Source organism: Homo sapiens, chromosome 1 (genome assembly GCF_000001405.40).
Source record: "Homo sapiens chromosome 1, GRCh38.p14 Primary Assembly".
NCBI lineage: Eukaryota > Metazoa > Chordata > Mammalia > Primates > Hominidae > Homo > Homo sapiens.
Window position 1 is genome coordinate 207,306,155 of NC_000001.11, and position 19,686 is coordinate 207,325,840.

General features: G+C 39.5%; 1 protein-coding gene and 2 long non-coding RNA genes across 10 annotated transcripts in view, besides 3 other annotated features; 2 read left to right on the top strand and 1 right to left on the bottom strand.

The window, feature by feature from the left end:
• Nucleotides 1-8,027, top strand: part of LINC02942 (long intergenic non-protein coding RNA 2942) — a 74,070-nt gene extending 66,043 nt beyond the window's left edge. Inside the window, exon 4 of the long non-coding RNA NR_186170.1 lies at nucleotides 2,313-8,027. This is a non-coding gene — a long non-coding RNA (long intergenic non-protein coding RNA 2942). The remainder of the gene's footprint in view (nucleotides 1-2,312) is intronic.
• The window catches only part of LOC107985251 (uncharacterized), a 195,120-nt gene extending 179,145 nt beyond the window's left edge, over nucleotides 1-15,975 (bottom strand). For both annotated transcript variants that reach the window (XR_007066838.1, XR_007066837.1), the window contains exon 1: nucleotides 15,532-15,975. This is a non-coding gene — a long non-coding RNA (uncharacterized LOC107985251). The remainder of the gene's footprint in view (nucleotides 1-15,531) is intronic.
• Nucleotides 10,430-11,259: an enhancer, noted in NCBI's record as "H3K27ac hESC enhancer chr1:207489929-207490758 (GRCh37/hg19 assembly coordinates)". NCBI's record gives its function as "activates a minimal SCP1, AML or CMV promoter by ChIP-STARR-seq in naive H9 embryonic stem cells {active_cell/tissue: H9 hESC(naive)}" and the evidence as "EXISTENCE:reporter gene assay evidence [ECO:0000049][PMID:30033119]".
• Nucleotides 14,950-15,159: an enhancer, noted in NCBI's record as "active region_2440". NCBI's record gives its function as "activates an Ori minimal core promoter by ATAC-STARR-seq in GM12878 lymphoblastoid cells {active_cell/tissue: GM12878}" and the evidence as "EXISTENCE:reporter gene assay evidence [ECO:0000049][PMID:35858748]".
• The window catches only part of CD55 (CD55 molecule (Cromer blood group)), a 39,289-nt gene continuing 35,126 nt past the window's right edge, over nucleotides 15,524-19,686 (top strand). For all 7 annotated transcript variants that reach the window (NR_125349.2, XR_007095644.1, NM_001114752.3 and 4 more), the window contains exons 1-4: nucleotides 15,524-15,711; nucleotides 16,228-16,413; nucleotides 18,405-18,596; nucleotides 19,468-19,567. Coding sequence is in view for 5 of the 7 variants with exons in the window: in NM_001114752.3 (NP_001108224.1) it covers nucleotides 15,612-15,711; nucleotides 16,228-16,413; nucleotides 18,405-18,596; nucleotides 19,468-19,567 (578 nt within the window). In the remaining 2 variants the exon portion in view is untranslated. The remainder of the gene's footprint in view (nucleotides 15,712-16,227; nucleotides 16,414-18,404; nucleotides 18,597-19,467; nucleotides 19,568-19,686) is intronic.
• Nucleotides 15,720-15,799: a silencer, noted in NCBI's record as "silent region_1770". NCBI's record gives its function as "represses an Ori minimal core promoter by ATAC-STARR-seq in GM12878 lymphoblastoid cells {active_cell/tissue: GM12878}" and the evidence as "EXISTENCE:reporter gene assay evidence [ECO:0000049][PMID:35858748]".

The window sequence follows — 19,686 nt, forward strand, 5'->3', positions numbered from 1 at the left end:
AGAAGATTATTCAACATATACTTCTGTTCTCTATTTTGACATATCCAGTTTTTCCAAAGTTCCTAGCCAGATGCTAAATTCATATAGCTGATAAAGGAGTCTCTGTTCTTAAGATGATAATAGAGAGCATTTCATGAAATGGTTAAGCAGTAACACATATACATAGTATATGTATATATATATATAGTGACTTCTGTTGAAAAAATAAGTGACTATTCGTATTTATTTTCACTCTTTCTCAAAATGCCACTAAAATTACAGTGTCATTTTAACTAAAATTAAAAATAATTTTTTAAAGGCATAAAAACACAAAAGAATAAATGGCAGAGGAGATGCAGAAAGGTGTTTGAATTGTTACCGATTTAGCAGAAAGTAGAAAGCTAAAACCTTCCTGCCTGTAGCCAGTCTGTTTATGCTGCAGAACCCCAGAAAGGCTCAGAAATTGGAGGCACAAAGAACCTTTGGAGATTAGGAATTAAACTGAAAATAGGAGGATCAGTTGAAAGTGTATATAAAGTCGACAGACCTGAAGGACGCTTCTCATATGCAGAGCATTTAGGAGACTATTATCATGCTTTTACTTTCTGCCAGGAACTAGGACCATTGGCCATTTGATACAGCTGCTTCCCTGTGGATAAAGTAGTGGGGTGGGGTGTGGTGACCCGTGGGAAGCTTTCTTTCTCGAGAGCAGCCAATCCTGAAGGATCCCAGTTGCTCAATGTGCGCACAAAGCACTAATGGTTTTGCTTCTAATTGAAGTGCTGTTTGACAAAGAAGGTTTTTGCCATTTCTCCTATCCAGAGAAGAGGCAAGGGGCATTAAATGGAAAAATCAAAATCAGAGTAGTTCTCAACTCTAGGAAAACTGACAGTGAAAGAAGAAGGGTAGGAAAGGCAAACATTGAATGGTGAGACCTGTAACTCCCTGGTGAGACTAAGATCCCAGAATGTTGGTAGCCAGGCTTATACCTCTCTGTTCCATTCCAGGTGAGACTTCAGAGGATTTCTTTTTAGGGAAATGAATGAGACTAAGAGAAAATACTTTTAGATGCTAACATATGGGGTTGTTTCCCACACTGTCAAGTTCCCAACCCAATAACCCTACACTGAAGCCAACCAGGAAACACACACAGTTTACAACTAGCTTGTTGGAGTCTCATTTGTAAATATTGAAGGAAACATTATGGATCATAAGATGCTTGAGGAGGCCTCCAACATGAAATACAGAGAACAAAACTAACAAACACGGACAAAAAGAAACTCGGAAGACAGACAATGCAAACAGAAGAAGAAAACAAACCACCGTCAAAACAAAGCAAAATCCTGTATATTTAATATCATCACATATAAAAGAAGATATTATATATGTTAAATGAGTAAATAATGCTGGTTAAAAACATTCAGAGAATAAGTAAGAGCTCATGGAAATTACAAATATTACAGCAATAATAAAAGTTCAACAGAAGCACTGGATAAAAGTTGAGAAATTTTAAGAAAATATAACAAGATGAGAAACAAAAATAGAAAAGATACAAGGTTTAGAGAACTAATAGGAGTTCTAAGATTAACAGTCTGACACTTTGGGAGGCCGAGGCGGGTGGATCATGAGGTCAGGAGATCGAGACCATCCTGGCTAACAAGGTGAAACCCTGTCTCTACTAAAAATACAAAAAATTAGCCGGGCGCGGTGGCGGGCGCCTGTAGTCCCAGCTACTCGGGAGGCTGAGGCAGGAGAATGGCGTGAACCCGGGAAGCGGAGCTTGCAGTGAGCCGAGATTGCGCCACTGCAGTCCGCAGTCCGGCCTGGGCGACAGAGCGAGACTCCGTCTCAAAAAAAAAAAAAAAAAAAAAAAAGAAAAAAAAGATTAACAGTCTGACTAATAAGAGTTCTAAAAAGAGTATACTGAAAAAAATTATCAAAATAATAATATAATAATAGTTTCCAAAATTGGAAGGCACAAATTTCTAGACTGAATGGTTCAGCATAGTGAATGGAAACAGACTAACACAAGGCACATTGTGATTAAAATTTCGGAGTTCCAAGTTTAGAGACAAAACCATAACTTTCAATAGAATAAAAGTGAATCAAACATAAAGAATTAAGAATCAGAATGACATTAATATTCTGAAAGTAATTCTGAAATTAGATGTCAATTGGAGAAATGCCTTCAAAATCCTAAGGAAAATGGTTTCAACTTAGATTTTAAGACCTAGACTAACTATCGATCAAGTTTGTAGGCAGAATAAAAGCCTTTTCAAAATTTAAAAAAATCTAAAAAAGAAAATTACCTCCCCATGCCCCTTTTTTTCCAGGAAGCTATTGGAGAATACACACCTTCGAAATGCGGAGAAATATAAGAAAAGGAAGACAAGAGTTCAAGAAGCCAGGCATCCAACAATAATAACTAAAGAGGCAAGGTAATTCTCAGGATGATGTAACAGAAAGTCCAGACTGGTGAATGACAATGAAGAACTACAAGAGGTTTGTACTCTGAAAAGAAGAAGGAAAAAAGTGGAACTCACAGTTTGTCTAAAGTTTTTGACCATGTTTCAAGGAAGTATATGGTTCTGTGCAAAGTTAGCAAAAGGTACATTAAAAAAATGAGAAAACAACAAAATCAGGCAATTACCAACTAAAAGTATAAAGAATTTGGTACAAAAAAGGAAATTAATAATACACTACATGCTAACTTGTTAACAATTTTTACATAGTACCAATACAATAAATACAATGTTAATTTCAAACTGCAATTAATTATGCTGGAAGGATGTGGGAGTGTTAAGAGAGTTAAATTAAAATCTTCATAACAGGAAGTCAACAGATAATACCTACTGAATATTTCTACTTTTTGGAGGGATGTTGGGTTGGGGAACTACTGTTTCATTTCCTTAAAGTACTATTTGGCTTTTTAAATTGCCTGTACACATGCATATGCATACATAGTCTAAAGTTAAATTTTTAAAACCACATATAAAAGCCATGTGGGAAAAGAATTATTGTGAATGCTTAGTAAAAGAATGTATGCACAGCACATAATACAATGTTGATACATCATAGAGTATTAATAAAGTCCCCAAGATTTGCCTGCTTGGGATAGTCTTATTAACAAAAGTTAATCTTGTTAATAAAACAGTCAACAAATATATAAATCTTTACTCATCAGTCCCTAGTAAAATTTTCCAACTGTTGTGGAAGATATAAAGAAATATGAAACATAATCCTTACATTAAAATACCTTCTAATAAGTTATGGCAGTTAATATTTAATTGGTGTTATATGTACAGTAGGCACTGTCCCAAGTTCTTTACATATTATCTCTTTTAATTCTATGAGATAGACATTATTATCTCCATTTTATTATATAAATGAGGAAACTGAGGCACACTAAAATGAAGTAACTTGTCCAGGTCATGGAGCTCATAAGAGAGGGAGGTAGGATTCCAGTCCAAGCAGAAGGCGAGGGAGTCTCAGATTGCTTTATAATCTAATTGAGGGGAAGAAGAAACAGAGCTAAACAACCTTATATGATTTAAGGAGGAGTTCAACATAATACTGGAAGAGATGTCACAAACTAATGCAAGCATACTTTAGGGGAAATTGCTGTATTACACTAGGAGATCAGAAGAGAGTGCAAACCCTTCAGACTGATAGCCAAGGAAGCATTTAATTGGACCAGCTGGCTGGGGAGGGCATTCCTTGTAAGTGAATCAACACGCAGAGGTGGTAACCATAGCATGCCAGGGATCAGCGAGGAAGGTAATTTGACTAGAGCATAGCACATTTTGTTCATCCACAAATAAAACCTGTGAGATCAAAGCAGGAAAGGCCTAATAACAAATTATAAATGGCCTTGAAAGCAGACTAAGAAGCTTGGACTTTATTTTGTGAAAACGGGAAGTGATTGCTGAGCATGTGCACTTAATCTGGACATTGTACATGTAATCAGCTGACAGGAAGAGAACAAGTAACGGCTTATTGTGGCAGTCTGGATAAGATTTATCAAAATCTCAAACTAGCCTGGGGTAAGTGAGAGTGGAATTGGCTGGATCCTGGATGAGAAGTCCCACAAGGACTTACAGAAACAATTTGCATTTTATCTTTCTACCAAGGAGAAAAGTTTTTCAAACTACAAAGGCTAGATATAATTAAAAGGGAATTAAATTTCAAAAAGTTCAAGTAAGAGTATCTGCTTTGAAAAAATGAGTTTCTAGGTTTCAATAAGTTACAACATAGCATAATCAAATACTTAACTATTATGATTATGAATTGGCTGGCAGGATTTCTTTTAAAATGAAAGTAAAGCTTTCTAGATGTAACAATAAAGCATGCTCAATATGGAAAAAATATACAAAGAAAAAAATCAGCAAACTTATTCACATACCCTTAGTTTGGTTATTTTTTTTCAGTCTTTTCTATGAATAACTTTGTTTCCATGTTAATACAAAGTTACAATTGATTATCATATTATATATAGAAGATATAATTTTCTTCTTGCTTAAACATTTTAATAAAACATTTTTCAGTCTTTTCTTTGAATAACTTTGTTTCCATGTTAATACACAGTTACAATTGAATTTTCTTCTTGCTTAAACTTTTTTTTTTTTTTTTTTTGAGATGGGGTCTCACTCTATCGCCCAGGCTGGAGTGCAGTGGCCCGATCTTGGCTCACTGAAAACTCCGCCTCGCAGGTTCATGCTATTCTCCTGCCTCAGCCTCCTGAGTAGCTGGGACTACAGGCACCCGCCACAACACCCAGCTAATTTTTTTGTATTTTTAGTAGACACGGGGTTTCACCGTGTTATCCAGGATGGTCTCGATCTCCTGACCTTGTGATCTGCCCACCTCGGCCTCCCAAAGTGCTGGGATTACAGGCGTGGGCCACCACACCTGGCCTTGCTTAAACATTTTAATAAAACATTTCATATTCCATTACAAATTTATTTGTATACATAACTAATAATTGCATAATACTTAATAATGTGTATATATGTACTAAAAGGTTTTTAACCATTCCTGTGTAGTTGGATATTTAAGCACATTCTAAATCTCTGTTTATATAAGCCTAATATCTCTTTGCTCAAAATCAATTTTCTGTATTGTGGATTACCTCCTCAGGCCGGTTTTCCAGCTAAAAATCTTAAGAAAAACAATGGAGAATGAAAGAAGTAAACAGTTTAAACATAACTTCTATTTAAGAGGGCATGAAATGGTTAAATTGCAAAACCTTAGTGAGTCACCAGAGTGATTATTTTTAACCACACTGTCCCTGAAGGACAACTGATAATGATATATGGGAAGTAACTATAGTGCAGAAAATATCTAAGCAGGCATAACAAGTGTTTAGTAATTAACATCAGAATGACATTATAGTTTTTATTAATTTTCCAGCCAGAGTCTCACTCTGTCACCCAGGCTGGAGTGCAGTGGTGTAATCTCGACTCACGGAAACCTCTGCCTCCCAGGTTCAAGCGATTCTCCTGCCTCAGCCTCCTGAGTAGCTGGGACTACAGGCGCCCGCTACCATGCCCAGCTAATTTTTGTATTTTTAGTAGAGACGGGGTTTTACCATATTGGCCAGGCTGGTCTCGAACTCCTGACCTCATGATCTGCCCTCCTCAGCCTCCCAAAGTGCTGGGATTACAGGCATGAGCCATCGCACCTGGCCGCAGAATGACATTATCGTTACATCTACACTTGAATGTATTTTATATTGCATTTAAATTTATTTACATGTATTTTAACTTAACTGGTAAAATTCTGAAGCATGGGTATAATTATTCTCTTAATGCACCTTATTCTTTTAAATTTCTGAATTAATGGAATCTGTAGACATTATTACAAAGATATATCTGAGCCAGTTATATTACTGAAATCACCTTTGCAAAAATTATGACAGTGAGAAAAATATGACATAGGAAAATTATGACAGTAAAGGAAATCTGACCTAACCAACTCCATCTTGGTTCTAACCTCCAAGCTGTCCTTGTTCATTCCCGGGTACAGGCTGAACTAACTTTGAGAGGAATTTAGCTCATGGTTTAACTTTGAAACAAAGATGATAACAGCCTTCCCCAAAACAAATCCCCTCCTTGTTTGGGGACCAGATTGCCTTTGTAAAACTAACAAAATTACCCACAAGATTAGGAATTATGGAGTCATGCAACCAGAGATCACAAGATTCCTAAGCTCAATTGCTCTGATAGATAACATTACTGTTGTAAAACCTAAGATTGGTGTTCGAAGCATTTTTCAGACCCTGCATTCTGATAGACCAGCTGGTGCCACCCAGACTGGTAAACTGGCTCATCTGGTTTTGTGGCCCCCACCCAGGAACTGACTTAATGCAAGAGGACAGCTTGGACTCCCTGTGATTCCATCCCTGACCCAATTTATCACCATTCCCCATTCCCTAGCTCCCTACCCGCCAAACTGTCTTACAAAAATCCTAGCCTCTGACTTTTTGGGGAGGCTGATTTGAGTAACAATAAAACTCCAGTCTCCAATTTAGCCAGCTCTACATGTATTAAACTTTGTCTACTGTAATTCCCATCTGGATAAATCAGTTCCATCTGGACAGTGGGCAAGAAGAATCTGTTGGGCAATTACATTACCCACTGACAAAGTAAAAATCCGGTGCTTGGAGTGAGCAGACCAAATACACAACACCCTTTAAAATATGGTGCTTGCAGGGATCTGCTTTTTATTTTGTAGTTTATTGTGAAGTGTGGGTGGTGTGATGGGCCAAGCACAAAACCTGCAGTTGATGATGTGGGTTCATGCTTTACCCTGATTATTATTAGGTGTATGACTTTGGACTTGTTAGAGAATCACTGAAATTCATTTAGAGGTTAATAATAACACCTATCTCACAGAGTGGATCTGAGAATTAAGTGAGATATTAGTGAAAAACTCCCCAGAGATGATAAGTCCTACATTCATCTAAATTGTTGCTGTCATTATTTCTGTCTGCCACATTATCCTGGCACAAGATTTAGTGGGGATTCATTGAGCAGGTGAGAGGTGATGTGGAAAAGATCCATAAAATTACCTCATTAGCTCTGAGAACCTATCACTAGCTCTTCAGATGGAGCAGTGAGAACAGGCTGGGATCAAACAGTATGGAGAAAAGAATCTCCTTGGTTCTCCTTTCATGGGAAATTGCATCAGAAGTTCCTGTGGATGGCTTGTTAATTGGTGAGCATTCTGATTCAACACTGTGTCTCTCAGAATATAGTAAACAACCAAGGTTACACTATCCACATCAAATGATTAATGCAATATGCTTATAATTGTTTTGTGATTTTGCCAATTTTCTCATATATATAACAACTCAGTGTTTTGCAAGTCAGCAAAGCCCATTGATATTGTTCTTTATGGGCTCAAATTATTTCACATCCATGGTTAACACTACTTCAAACTGATTGACAAAATTAGGGGGCAAAACGAGAAAAGGTGTATTTGGTTGTGCTATTCTTGACACATAACCCAGTTGATTCACTGTTGCCAAAGCCCACCAACTCCACATCTGAGACCTTTGATTCCATTTTATGATTTTTAATCAACTTCATTGAGGTATAATTTACATAAAACAAATGGAAACATTCAAATTATCCAGTTTCACGAGTCTTGACAAATGTATACACCATGTAACCACTACCCCAATAAATATATAGAACATTTTCCCCCAAAAGTTCCCTTTTGCCATTTTGCAGTAAATTCTCCTACCCTCTTGCACTCCCCACTCCCGATAGTCATTACTTTGATTTCTATCATCATAAGTTGATTTTGCTTGTTCTGGAACTTCATATAAATGAAATCATATAATATCCACTCTATGTGCCTAGTTTCCTCTGCTCAGCAAGTTTTTGAAATTCATCCCTATTGTGTGTATCATTAATTTGTTCCTTTTTAATGTGAAGTAGTATTCATTGTATGGAAGTGCCACAATTTGTTTAACCATTCAGCTACTTATGAATTGTTTCCAGCTTGTAGCTGTTATAAATAAAGCTTCTATAAACATTTATGTACAAATCTTTGTAGACATTTTTATTTTTCCTGGGTCCATACTTGGAAATATAAGGTCATATGGTAAGTCTCTGTTATGTAAGAAGTTTCTAAATTGGTTCTTTTCCATGCAAACCTGACACACACACAAACAAACCCTGACATAATTATTATAGACCTTTGGGCTAATGGACTAAATGACATCAAAATGAGGCCACATGGTCTGGAAACATGAGGGGGAAAGGATGTCACAGAAGTAGTAGAGGAGGTGGTATCAGATGGGGGACTTGAGAAAACAGAAGTGTTTTCAACAAAACCTGCAATTATTGTTTGTCTGAAGTAAATTACCTTCTTCATAGCAGAACATTTGGCTATATGAGAAAGTACTATTTATCCTAGAGAAATGATCATCATATAGGTAAATGGATTTTATTTGACATCTGAAAGAACAGTGCTAGGAAAATACTCACCGATGAACACTTTGAGAAAGATCGAGGAACGCTTTAGTCTTCATTATGCACCAACAAATAAAAGGTAACACGTAGAGTGGACGGAGCATAATTTTAAATCTCCCCAGAACTGGGTTCAAATTTTGCTTGGCTTTGCCATCTGTATTGTTTTATCCAATCATTTCCCCCTCTGAACCTGTCCCAACATGTGCAATTGTAAGTAATAATAGTTTACTCATGGCACTGCTGGATGGTTAACCAAGGTTAAGTCTCAAAGTGAGAGTATCAATGGAAGGTGATCCCTTCAATGTAAATTTCTTCTTTCTTCCCTCCTTACCCTTGTGCAATTCTAGTAAGCTTAAATTGTAAATCTGCTTAACTTGCAAGCTGTTAAATCAAGGGAAACAAACTGCAGATGGGACTACATTGGAGGTAAAGAATCCAATGTTTATACAATTCTGAATCTTGGTAAATGACCTAATCTTTGCTAAAGGAAAAATACTACTGAGTGGGGAAAGAATAAGGAAAACAACTAAATGATCTCCACATTGCTAATACATGAGAATTTCATATTGCTTTTACAGAATTTTAAAACTGTATGTCATGACATGGCTGTATTTATAGATTTCATGAAAAGTGGCCAAGTCTTGTTATAGGAAACATTCATTCATGTCATCACCCATGATCATTCATTATTGTTAATATTTATAGAGTACTGTGTGCCAAGCAATGGGCCAAATGCTTTACATACATTATTTCCTTTATTCCTCACAAAACCTCTATGAGGTAATATCATTACACCTGTTTTATAAGTGGGAAATTTGTGTTTCAGAGCGGTTGGGTGCTGGACCACACTCTCACATGCACACACACTCTCACATGCTCACATTCATACACGCACATACACTCTCACATGCTCATACACATTCATATACATGCACACACATGCTCACACAGGCTTTCATACACACACTCACATGCTCACACACATTCATACATGCACACACATGCACACTCATTCATACATGCACACACATGCTCAGACTTTCATACACACACACATGCACACACACATTCATACATGCACGCACACTCTCACATGCTCACACACATTCATACATGCACACACTCATGCTCACACATATACATGCACACACTCACATGCTCACATTCATACATGCACACACACTCTCACATGCTCACATTCATACATGCACATACTCTCATGCTCACACACATTCATATATGCACACTCACATGCTCACACACATTCATATATGCACACTCACATGCTCACACACGTTCATACATGCACACACACGCTTACACACTCATACATGCATACACTCTCACATGCAAACATATTCTCACATTCTTGCACACACATACTAAAATGAACAAACTAGCCACAAGATTAAAAATTATGGCTCAGGAGTCATGCAGCTAAAGGCTACAAGATTCCTAACCTTCCCAATTGCTCCTATAAATAATGTTACTATTGCAAAACCTAAATTTGTGTTTGAAGTTCACACATGAACACAGTCTCACATGTGTGCACACACACATTTTCTTGTTCCTGCCCCTACCTCCAAAGTGGAGGTAGCAAAAATTCACTGTTGTCTCAGAAAGTTAGATCTTGGCAAATAAATATTTGCTCACATAAGTCAAGCATTGCATTTCCCCCTGGCTGCTGAGCCTGTTCTCACACACACAGGGAAGTCAGCTGCAGGGCAGGATGCCATTTCATAGGTGAACATGTCACATGGAATTAGACCACTTTTTCCCAGGTCCTGCTGAACCTGCACCTAGTGAAAAAAAAACTACTATGTCTGCTGCAATACACTGATACCTTGATTAGTGAATTCCTGAAGAACTCATGTATAAGAAATGGGAGAGTCCACTCATTTGTTTTCATTTATTAAAAAATACCCTTATTCTGTGAAGCAGAATTACCTGTATTTGCAGCTGCATGACAAAAATGCCTCAATATAAAGCTCCCCCCAACCCCCACCCCCCGCCCATTGGCTATTTTAAGATAAGTTGGCAATAAATTTAGGCTGAGTTAGAATGTAAATATGAAATAGACTGGTTCCTCAGATGTGAGGCATAGATAGGCACATTACATACTTTGGTAGCATAGAGGAAGGTACCAGGTATGATGCAATGGCAAGGGAGATTTTCTGGAGGAATGTTGCCTGGCCAGTCTAACAGAGGTGTTAAGATCCTAAGCACTAGTTCTACTGCCAGCAAGCCATGTGGTTTGGGGCTAGTTTCTTAACTTCCCTAAACACCAGCTGGTTCACTTGCAATGAGGGTGATAATATTTGCTCACAGTTTTGTATTCCTTGGCTTTCAAGAAATTGCACAATCCTCTTTCCTTTCCACTACCTTCTCCTTTCCCTTTCTCTGTCATTTGTACTTTCTAACGTGGGGCTCCTCAAGTCTCACACCTTGGGCTTCTCTATTTCCACATGCTATGCTCCCTTGGTTCAAACCTTGCCTGCAGTCACATCTCTACCCACTCCACCTCAATCTTGCCTCCGTTTCAATCGCATGCTGGACATTTCCACGTAGACACTCTGCCAAGGCATTTGAAATTCAACAAGTGTAAAGCTGAATATGGATAGTTCTTTTAAATAGGGCTGCTAATCTCACAAACTCCAAACTTCCGAGTCCTCTTCAACATCTTTTTCCCCACTGTTCCTTATCTAATCAGTTGCCAAATTCTGTGGCTTATTACTTTGAAACTTGTTTGGTCAGAGCAGGAATGGAAATTCAAAAGTCTATAATAATTGTGTCAGGAGTTTTACAGAGCAACAGGACTGGAACTCCTTAATATAGATTTATTAATTTTAAAACTAAAAGACATTTTTGTTCTCTAAACACCTGGACTGTTGTAATTAGCTAAATTGGATCTTTGCTTACACAGCCATTCCCATTCCAGCATCTTAGATGCAAATTCCAAATTACCCAGGTGCTTCCTCCTTACAAGTGTCAACCGTCCTTTAATGCTTCTGAATGGTGTAAAAGGCACAGGCCTTGCCTTTAAGGCTCTCTCAAATCTCTTTCCAGCCTCTCTTACCCTCTTGTTCCATTGCCATTGCCTCAATTCAGTTCTCCATACTCTCCCTAAACTAAACTCCTTACTATTCCTGGAATCAACAGGACTGACCCCAAACCTTTGTTCGTATCTCATCTCTTTTCCTATTTTTGCCCTATTGCATTGACACTTGTCATATTTAGTTGAATCACTGGGCCTTTAGCCTTCCCCGCTCCAATTACCACACTCCCTTCTTTCCTTTCTGAAGCCCCATACCACTTTGGTTGTGATATTTGTATAGCATTTATCATGGAAAACCTCCCTACTAGATTGTAGATTCTCAAACACAAGTATTGACACTTAGTGGGTTTCTGTATACTAGGGAAGTTTATTAAACAGTCTTTGATTTAGTCATTGTATGGTTCCTGGGATAAGAGTAAGAACCGTGGTCCCTTGCTCTGTCAAAATCATAAACCTATTTTCTTTGTATTTTGACTTAATTACATAAGCTTGTTTTGGATTGGAAGGTCTATAGAGACTATTTTAGTGCCAAATGCTATTTAATCAATGCAGAAATAAGCCCTTGAGAGGTGCAGTGACTCAGCTGAGGACACACTGATAGTTTCTGGTAGATAAGTATGAAGCCTTGGAACTACTTCTCATATCATAAGCCCCTGGGTTCCCAAATCACCTCCCCAAGTACCTAATTCATCATCCTCTGCATACAAGAAATTTTTGCTCATTCCAATAAAAAGAATGTAGTACGGCAGGACAGGAGAAGTACAGGTTTTGGAATCAAACTAGGTTTAGATTCTGACCTGGTCGCTAGTTAGTGCATGGGCTTTGGTAAACAGCCTCTCAGCCTGTTTCCTTGTCTGCAAAATATGGATAGTTATCTTCACTTCATGAAGTTGTGTTGGTGAAATGGTATAATGTGTATAAAGCAACTGGAACACAACAAATGAGGCCATTTATTTAAAATAATCTTTAGTAAGTTATAAATTCACATATTTGCTTTTTTCTGAGGAATGCTTAGATTTTATCATAGATCTCTTTTCTAAATTGAGTAAATACATAGTGGATTTCTTTGTTTCCTTCCCCTCAGAATGTTGAAATTTGGCTGATTGTAACTATTACTTAAGACTCTATCCAGTAATTGTTCGTAAAATTTCTTTTCTTTTTTTTTTTTTGAGACGGAGTTTTGCTCTCGTCCCCCAGGCTGGAGTGCAATGGCGCGATCTTGGCTCACTGCAACCTCCGCCTCCCAGGTTCAAGTGATTCTCCCGCCTCAGCCTCCCAAGTAGCTGGGATTACAGGCACCTGCCACAACGCCCAGCCAATTTTTGTATTTTTAGTAGAGACGGGGTTTCACCATGTTGGCCAGGCTAGTCTGGAACTCCTGACCTCAGGTGATCCTCCTGCCTTGGCCTCCCAAAGTGCTGAGATTACAGGCGTGAGCCACCACGCCCGGCCAAAATTTCCTTTTAAAAAAAGTTATTGCCAATAACTAAGTATGCTGGAAGGTGAATGCTTAGGACATTTAGTGTCACTGAGCTGTGTGATAGAGATAATATTTTTGACACTTTGCAGAGCTCATTGTTTTCTCTCCATATAAAGCTATGACATTCACATAATAAACATGTAGAGAGCTTTAACAGACTTCAATGTTAAGTCTTCTAACAGCTGCATAACTGGTCTTGCTTGAACCTGTCTTTTTCATAATGCTACCTTGCCTTTCACACCAATTCTGTGAGCCCAAGCAGGAATGAAGATTACCTATCTCTAATGGCAGGACAGAAGGGAGTGGTGGTTAAGGTTACTGGAGGTTATTGGGGGAATAAATGAAGACCTCATGCCACTTCTAAACACTGCCAGGACCTAACATACCTTGTGTTTTTATATCCAATATGGGAGTAAAGGTTAGATATTTTAACATCAAATATGAGGATGACACTAGATGGTTTTAAAAGCCCCCCACCATAACTTCTAAACTCCACAATGTTCGAATATTGTTAGGTTTCAGTGAAATCCTACAGTAGTCCCTTGCTTGGAATCACTGTAGGATTGGCTCCAGCAATGGGCAACACAAGGTTTGGTTCTATACAGTAGGTATGGGTCAAAGAAAATGCTATGATTGAAAAATTGCTGTTTTCCTCCTCAAAAAGCTCATACCAACCAGGAAAGAGCTATCAGAAAACCTTCAGGAAAGAATATAATGATAGGATATAACAAATACCCCCACAGCTGGTCCATAGACCAAAGTATAATTCCAAGTAGGGAATTTCACTTAACGAGGTAAGGCATTTAAGGGAAAAGGAATCTAGGCTAGGACTCTGCTAGCCAGACCCAGATAAATTATTACAGGGAAGCATGTTCTTGAGGCTATTCTCTATGAAGAAGGGCAACCCACCTTGCCATCTATATCCTTTCTGTTTTCGACAGGGGTGGTCCTAAGCTGGATAGATCTTTACTCTGACCAGTACCATATAGGTCTGTGGTTCTCAAACCTGGCTGCACAGTGTGGCACTTTAAGTAATCCTGATACCCAGTCCCATCCCCAAAGATGCTGATTTAATTTGTCTAAGGTGCAGTTTGGGCCTCTGGATTGGAACCAACCCATATACCCATCAATGATAGACTGGATAAAGAAAATGTGGCACATATACACCATAGAATACTACACAGCCATAAAAAAGGATGAGTTCATGTCCTATGCAGGGACATGGATGAAGCTGGAAACCATCAACCTCAGCAAACTAACATAAGACCAGAAAACCAAACACTGCATGTTCTTACTCATAAGTGGGAGTTGAACAATGAGAATACACAGACACAGGGAGGGGAACATCACACACGGGGGCCTGTTGGAGGGTGGGGGTTAGGGGAGGGATAGCATTAGGAGAAATACCTAATGTAGATGTTGGGTTGATGGGTGCAGCAAACCACCATGGCACGTGTATACCTATGTAACAAACCTGCATGTTCTGCACATGTATTCCAGAACTTAAAGAATATATATTTATATATGTATAAATATATATGAATATATAAATATAAATATATATATAAGCTCCCCACGTGATTCTAATGTGTGGCCAGTCTTGCAAACCTCAGGCTATTTATTCTAAAGGGTTTGTAACAAGCCTTCCTCTTAAAATCCACCCCACCACCATTCAGCGTTTTGGGGTCTGTTTGTTTTTATTGTTATCCCACCCCACACCGCCCCGAGGCGCGCGCGCGCGCGCGCACACACACACACACACACACACACACACATACACACACGCACACTGGTGAATTTCTCTCTACAGTCAGTCTGGAGTAATCCCAAAGTGGTGTCTTTCGTAAATAAGGAGAACCCGGGTGAAGAAAATGACTCCCACCCGAACAAGGCATGAACAATGTTCACTCCCTACTGTGTTATTCAACCTGTTTCCCCAGGTCTCTGTTTTCACATTAGAGAGTGTTCTAGGAGATGACGCCCTTCCTCCTTAGTTATTTCCCCACCCTCGTGCTGGCCTTTGACAGACCTCCCAGTAGAGGGCCCAAGACGCGGGTAGAGCACCGCGTCTCAGCGCCTGAGTCTCAGCCCCCGAACTCCACCGCACCTGCAGGTCCCCTTGGCAGCACTCAAGCGCGGGGATGCTCCGCTTAGACGAACTCACGTGCGGGCAGCAAGGCCTGCGATACTTGAGCACCCCTCCCCCTCTCCCGTTTACACCCCGTTTGTGTTTACGTAGCGAGGAGATATTTAGGTTTCTAGAAGGCAGGTCATCGCAGGCCCCACCCAGCAGTGGAGAGAGTGAGTCCCAGAGGGTGTTGCCAGCGAGCTCCTCCTCCTTCCCCTCCCCACTCTCCCCGAGTCTAGGGCCCCCGGGGCGTATGACGCCGGAGCCCTCTGACCGCACCTCTGACCACAACAAACCCCTACTCCACCCGTCTTGTTTGTCCCACCCTTGGTGACGCAGAGCCCCAGCCCAGACCCCGCCCAAAGCACTCATTTAACTGGTATTGCGGAGCCACGAGGCTTCTGCTTACTGCAACTCGCTCCGGCCGCTGGGCGTAGCTGCGACTCGGCGGAGTCCCGGCGGCGCGTCCTTGTTCTAACCCGGCGCGCCATGACCGTCGCGCGGCCGAGCGTGCCCGCGGCGCTGCCCCTCCTCGGGGAGCTGCCCCGGCTGCTGCTGCTGGTGCTGTTGTGCCTGCCGGCCGTGTGGGGTGAGTAGGGGCCCGGCGGCCGGGGAAGCCCCTGGGCTGGGTGGGAGGTCCAAGTCGGTCTCTGAGACACGCACAGGGGCCGGCGACTTGGCAGGTGGGGAGCTTGGCCCGCGGTCGTGGTTCCCGCCGTCCTGTGCCTTTAAGGCTCTCGCCGCTCACCAGCATTTGGGGCTCCTGCTGTGTCGGCCCCCAGCTGACTTGGCTTTAGGGGTCGGCGTGGAGGGTTAAAGAGGCCCCGGCTGGGTTTGCGGAGCAGCCAAGCCTGGCAAAATCGAAAGGGAGGGCTCAAAGAGACTGTATCCTTAACCCCCAAAAAGCTGGTCTAAAAGGATGGGAGGCCAGACCGCTGACCGTTCCCCACTCTCGACAGAGTCCAGCCGTGTGGAGCACACGATGCTGCAAACTTGCATGTCATCTCTTTCAGGTGTGGCATTTCAAGGGGGCTTGTGTCTTGAAAACAGCAACTGTGAGGACACTTGATAGTCATTTCCTTCAGTTCTGCTTTTGTCTCCCTAGGTGACTGTGGCCTTCCCCCAGATGTACCTAATGCCCAGCCAGCTTTGGAAGGCCGTACAAGTTTTCCCGAGGATACTGTAATAACGTACAAATGTGAAGAAAGCTTTGTGAAAATTCCTGGCGAGAAGGACTCAGTGATCTGCCTTAAGGGCAGTCAATGGTCAGATATTGAAGAGTTCTGCAATCGTAAGTTCTTCATCTTTTTAGAAAAGTTCTGGGAATGGAATGTATCTTAAATTTATTTTTATATACCTTTGGAGTGACTAGTAATTGATAGTTCTCTAGCGTTACTAAACCCCAGGGTATACCCTGTTGGCACGTCACACTCCAGCTAATTGAAGACATTTACCACCCTGAGTAGGTCCTGCTGCTTCATTAAGAGTTTTTCTTCCTAACACTGTACCTCTTGAACGAACTAGTAGAGAAAATAAACAATAGGTATTGTTTAGGGAGTAAACATATAAAATATATTTGGCAATTGCCTTGAGACACATAGCGTAAATGATATGTTTTCTTAAGTATTTTATAAAGTAGGACTTACCAAATACAACTCTGTGGTGGCATTTTTAAAAGCTCTCAATATTTACTTCAAAATCTGTTATACTTGTACATATTTATAGGGTACATGTGATATTCTGGCACATGCATACAGTGTGTCATGATCAATCAGGGTAATTGGATAGCCAGTACCTCAAACACTTGGTGTTTGTGTGGAGAATATTCCAAATCTTCTCTTCTTGCTACTTTGAAAAAATATATGTATATATATAAATTGGGATATATATATAGGGAGAGAGATATATATAATTGGGATATATATATATAAGGAGATATATAATTGGGATATATATAAGGAGATATATATAGGGAGAGATATATATATATAGGGAGATATATATATATAGGGAGAGAGATATATATAGGGAGAGAGAGATGTATAAACTGGGATATAGACAGGTAGATAGGTTGATTGTTAAAAATGAATAAGAGGCCCAGTGAAGAGTTGTTTGGGGGCTAACACAGTAACCGTGTTTGATACTGATACCTAGTAGAATTAAAAGAAATGAAGATTTCTTGTTTTAGGTGAATATACATACAGTCATCCACACCTTATGTGCCCTTTGATTTCATAAAATATATATTGGCATTATCTTGGAGGAAAAAAATCTGTTACTTACATAGCCCTGTATTAGCTTTGAGATATATGAGTAGAGATAAAGATAAAGAGACCCGATAACCTGACTTTGAACAACTTAAATCAATAGAAGCTACTGTAAATACAGAAATTGGCACAAATACCTTTAGAAGCCATGCGTGAAATAGGCTTTAACTTTTTATTTTTATCCACAATAGAGGCAGTAGGATGAAGTACATAGTCTTTGCACATGTATCATGTTTTAACTCTTCCCCATGTTATTACTTTATCCAATCCTCCAAACAACCTTATGAGGTAAGTTGGGGCTCTTACACTCTTTTTATGGCGGAGGAGACAGACCCCAGTAGTTTAATAACTTCCTCAAGAGCAGCAGCTTTTACGCCAAAACCAAGGTGTAAACTTGGGTCTTCTGACTACAAATCCAATGATGACCCTTCCACTTGACCATGCCTCTCTAGATTCACATTTGTGGGCAATCTGTTTACAGATGTAAATACTTTATGTATACAATTTGTGGGCAATCTGTTTACAGGTGTAAATACTTTATGTATACAATTGACTCATCCTTGCCCCCAGGGCTCATGGGAATTAAATGAGTTTGTACGTAAATAAATATTAGCTGCTATTATTGTTGTGCAGGACATTAGTCCAGGGGTCTGGAAATACCCTATTCCTGTACTGTATGGTGCTGTGTAGTTCTTTAGGGCAGGGTAAGGAAACCAACATTTATTGAATGCCAGAACTGGGCCAGGCAACTTAAATTTTTTTTTTTTTTTAAGTGGGGATAGTGATATGTGTGTACCAACTCTACTTCCTAAGCCTCTAGTAACTAGGAAACAAAGTATACATGTGAATACATTTGCTACATTGCAAGTGCCATGGTGATATTAATATAGTTAAGTACTAAATATGCGCAAAGCAGTAAAGAAAGGGGGTTATTAGGGTCCAGATAATTAAATATAGATTATAAAACAAAAATTGATACTACATTTTTTGTTGCTGCTTTTGTTAATACTTTTAGGTAGCTGCGAGGTGCCAACAAGGCTAAATTCTGCATCCCTCAAACAGCCTTATATCACTCAGAATTATTTTCCAGTCGGTACTGTTGTGGAATATGAGTGCCGTCCAGGTTACAGAAGAGAACCTTCTCTATCACCAAAACTAACTTGCCTTCAGAATTTAAAATGGTCCACAGCAGTCGAATTTTGTAAAAGTGAGTAAAATTTTTTAAAGTATTTTCAACCATCTGGTGTTTGGGGGAAATAGTATCCCTTCCTTCATTCATGCTAGAACTCTATGTGTATATATTATTATATAGGATGTTTCTTGATAGGACCATGAGTGTCAATTTATTTTGAATTAGACTAAATATTTATGTGGTAGGAATACTTATTCATTCAAAAATTTCACATTTAATTAGTTTGAGGTTACCTAAAATAAAACAAGTATATATTCTAAATTCGTTGCTTTTTCAAAACTTATTATAAAGAGAAATTAGAATTAAAGAAGTCTAAGGGTCAGGCATGGTGGCTCATACCTGTAATCCCAGCACTTTGGGAGACAGAGGCAGGTGGACCACTTGAGGTCAGGAGATTGAGAGTAGCCTGGCCAACATGATGAAACCCTGACTCTACTAAAAATACAAAAACTAGCTGGGTGTGGTGGCGCATGCCTGTAATCCCAGCTTCTTGGAAGGCTGAGGCAGGAGAATCCCTTGAACCTGGGAGGCAGAGGTTGCAGTGAGCTGAGATTATGTCACCGCGCTCCAGCCTGGGCAACAGAGCAAAACTCCATCTCAAAAAAAAAAAAAAAAAAGTCTAAGGATAAGAAATATCAATGGTTCAGATGATGAATTTACATATATGTGCTTGATAATTTTTTCAAAATTTTTACCTGAGCTTTATTGAGGTATAATCGACAAATATTATCTTAGGTGTACAACATGATGTTTTGATATATGTGCACATTGTGAAATGATTAACACAGTCAAGCTAATTAACATATCTACCACCTCACATAGTTACCTTCTTTGTGTGTATGCCTGATAATTTAATTTTAAAAAATCAATTTGTATTCTATTCTAGAGAAATCATGCCCTAATCCGGGAGAAATACGAAATGGTCAGATTGATGTACCAGGTGGCATATTATTTGGTGCAACCATCTCCTTCTCATGTAACACAGGGTAAGTTTGGGCATACTAAAACCCTGTATTTAGGAAATGAGAAAACAAATTAGGACTTAAGGTGAGATTGTTAGTTTCATGACTGGTATTCACAGCTAGTAGCAATTAAAACAATCCCT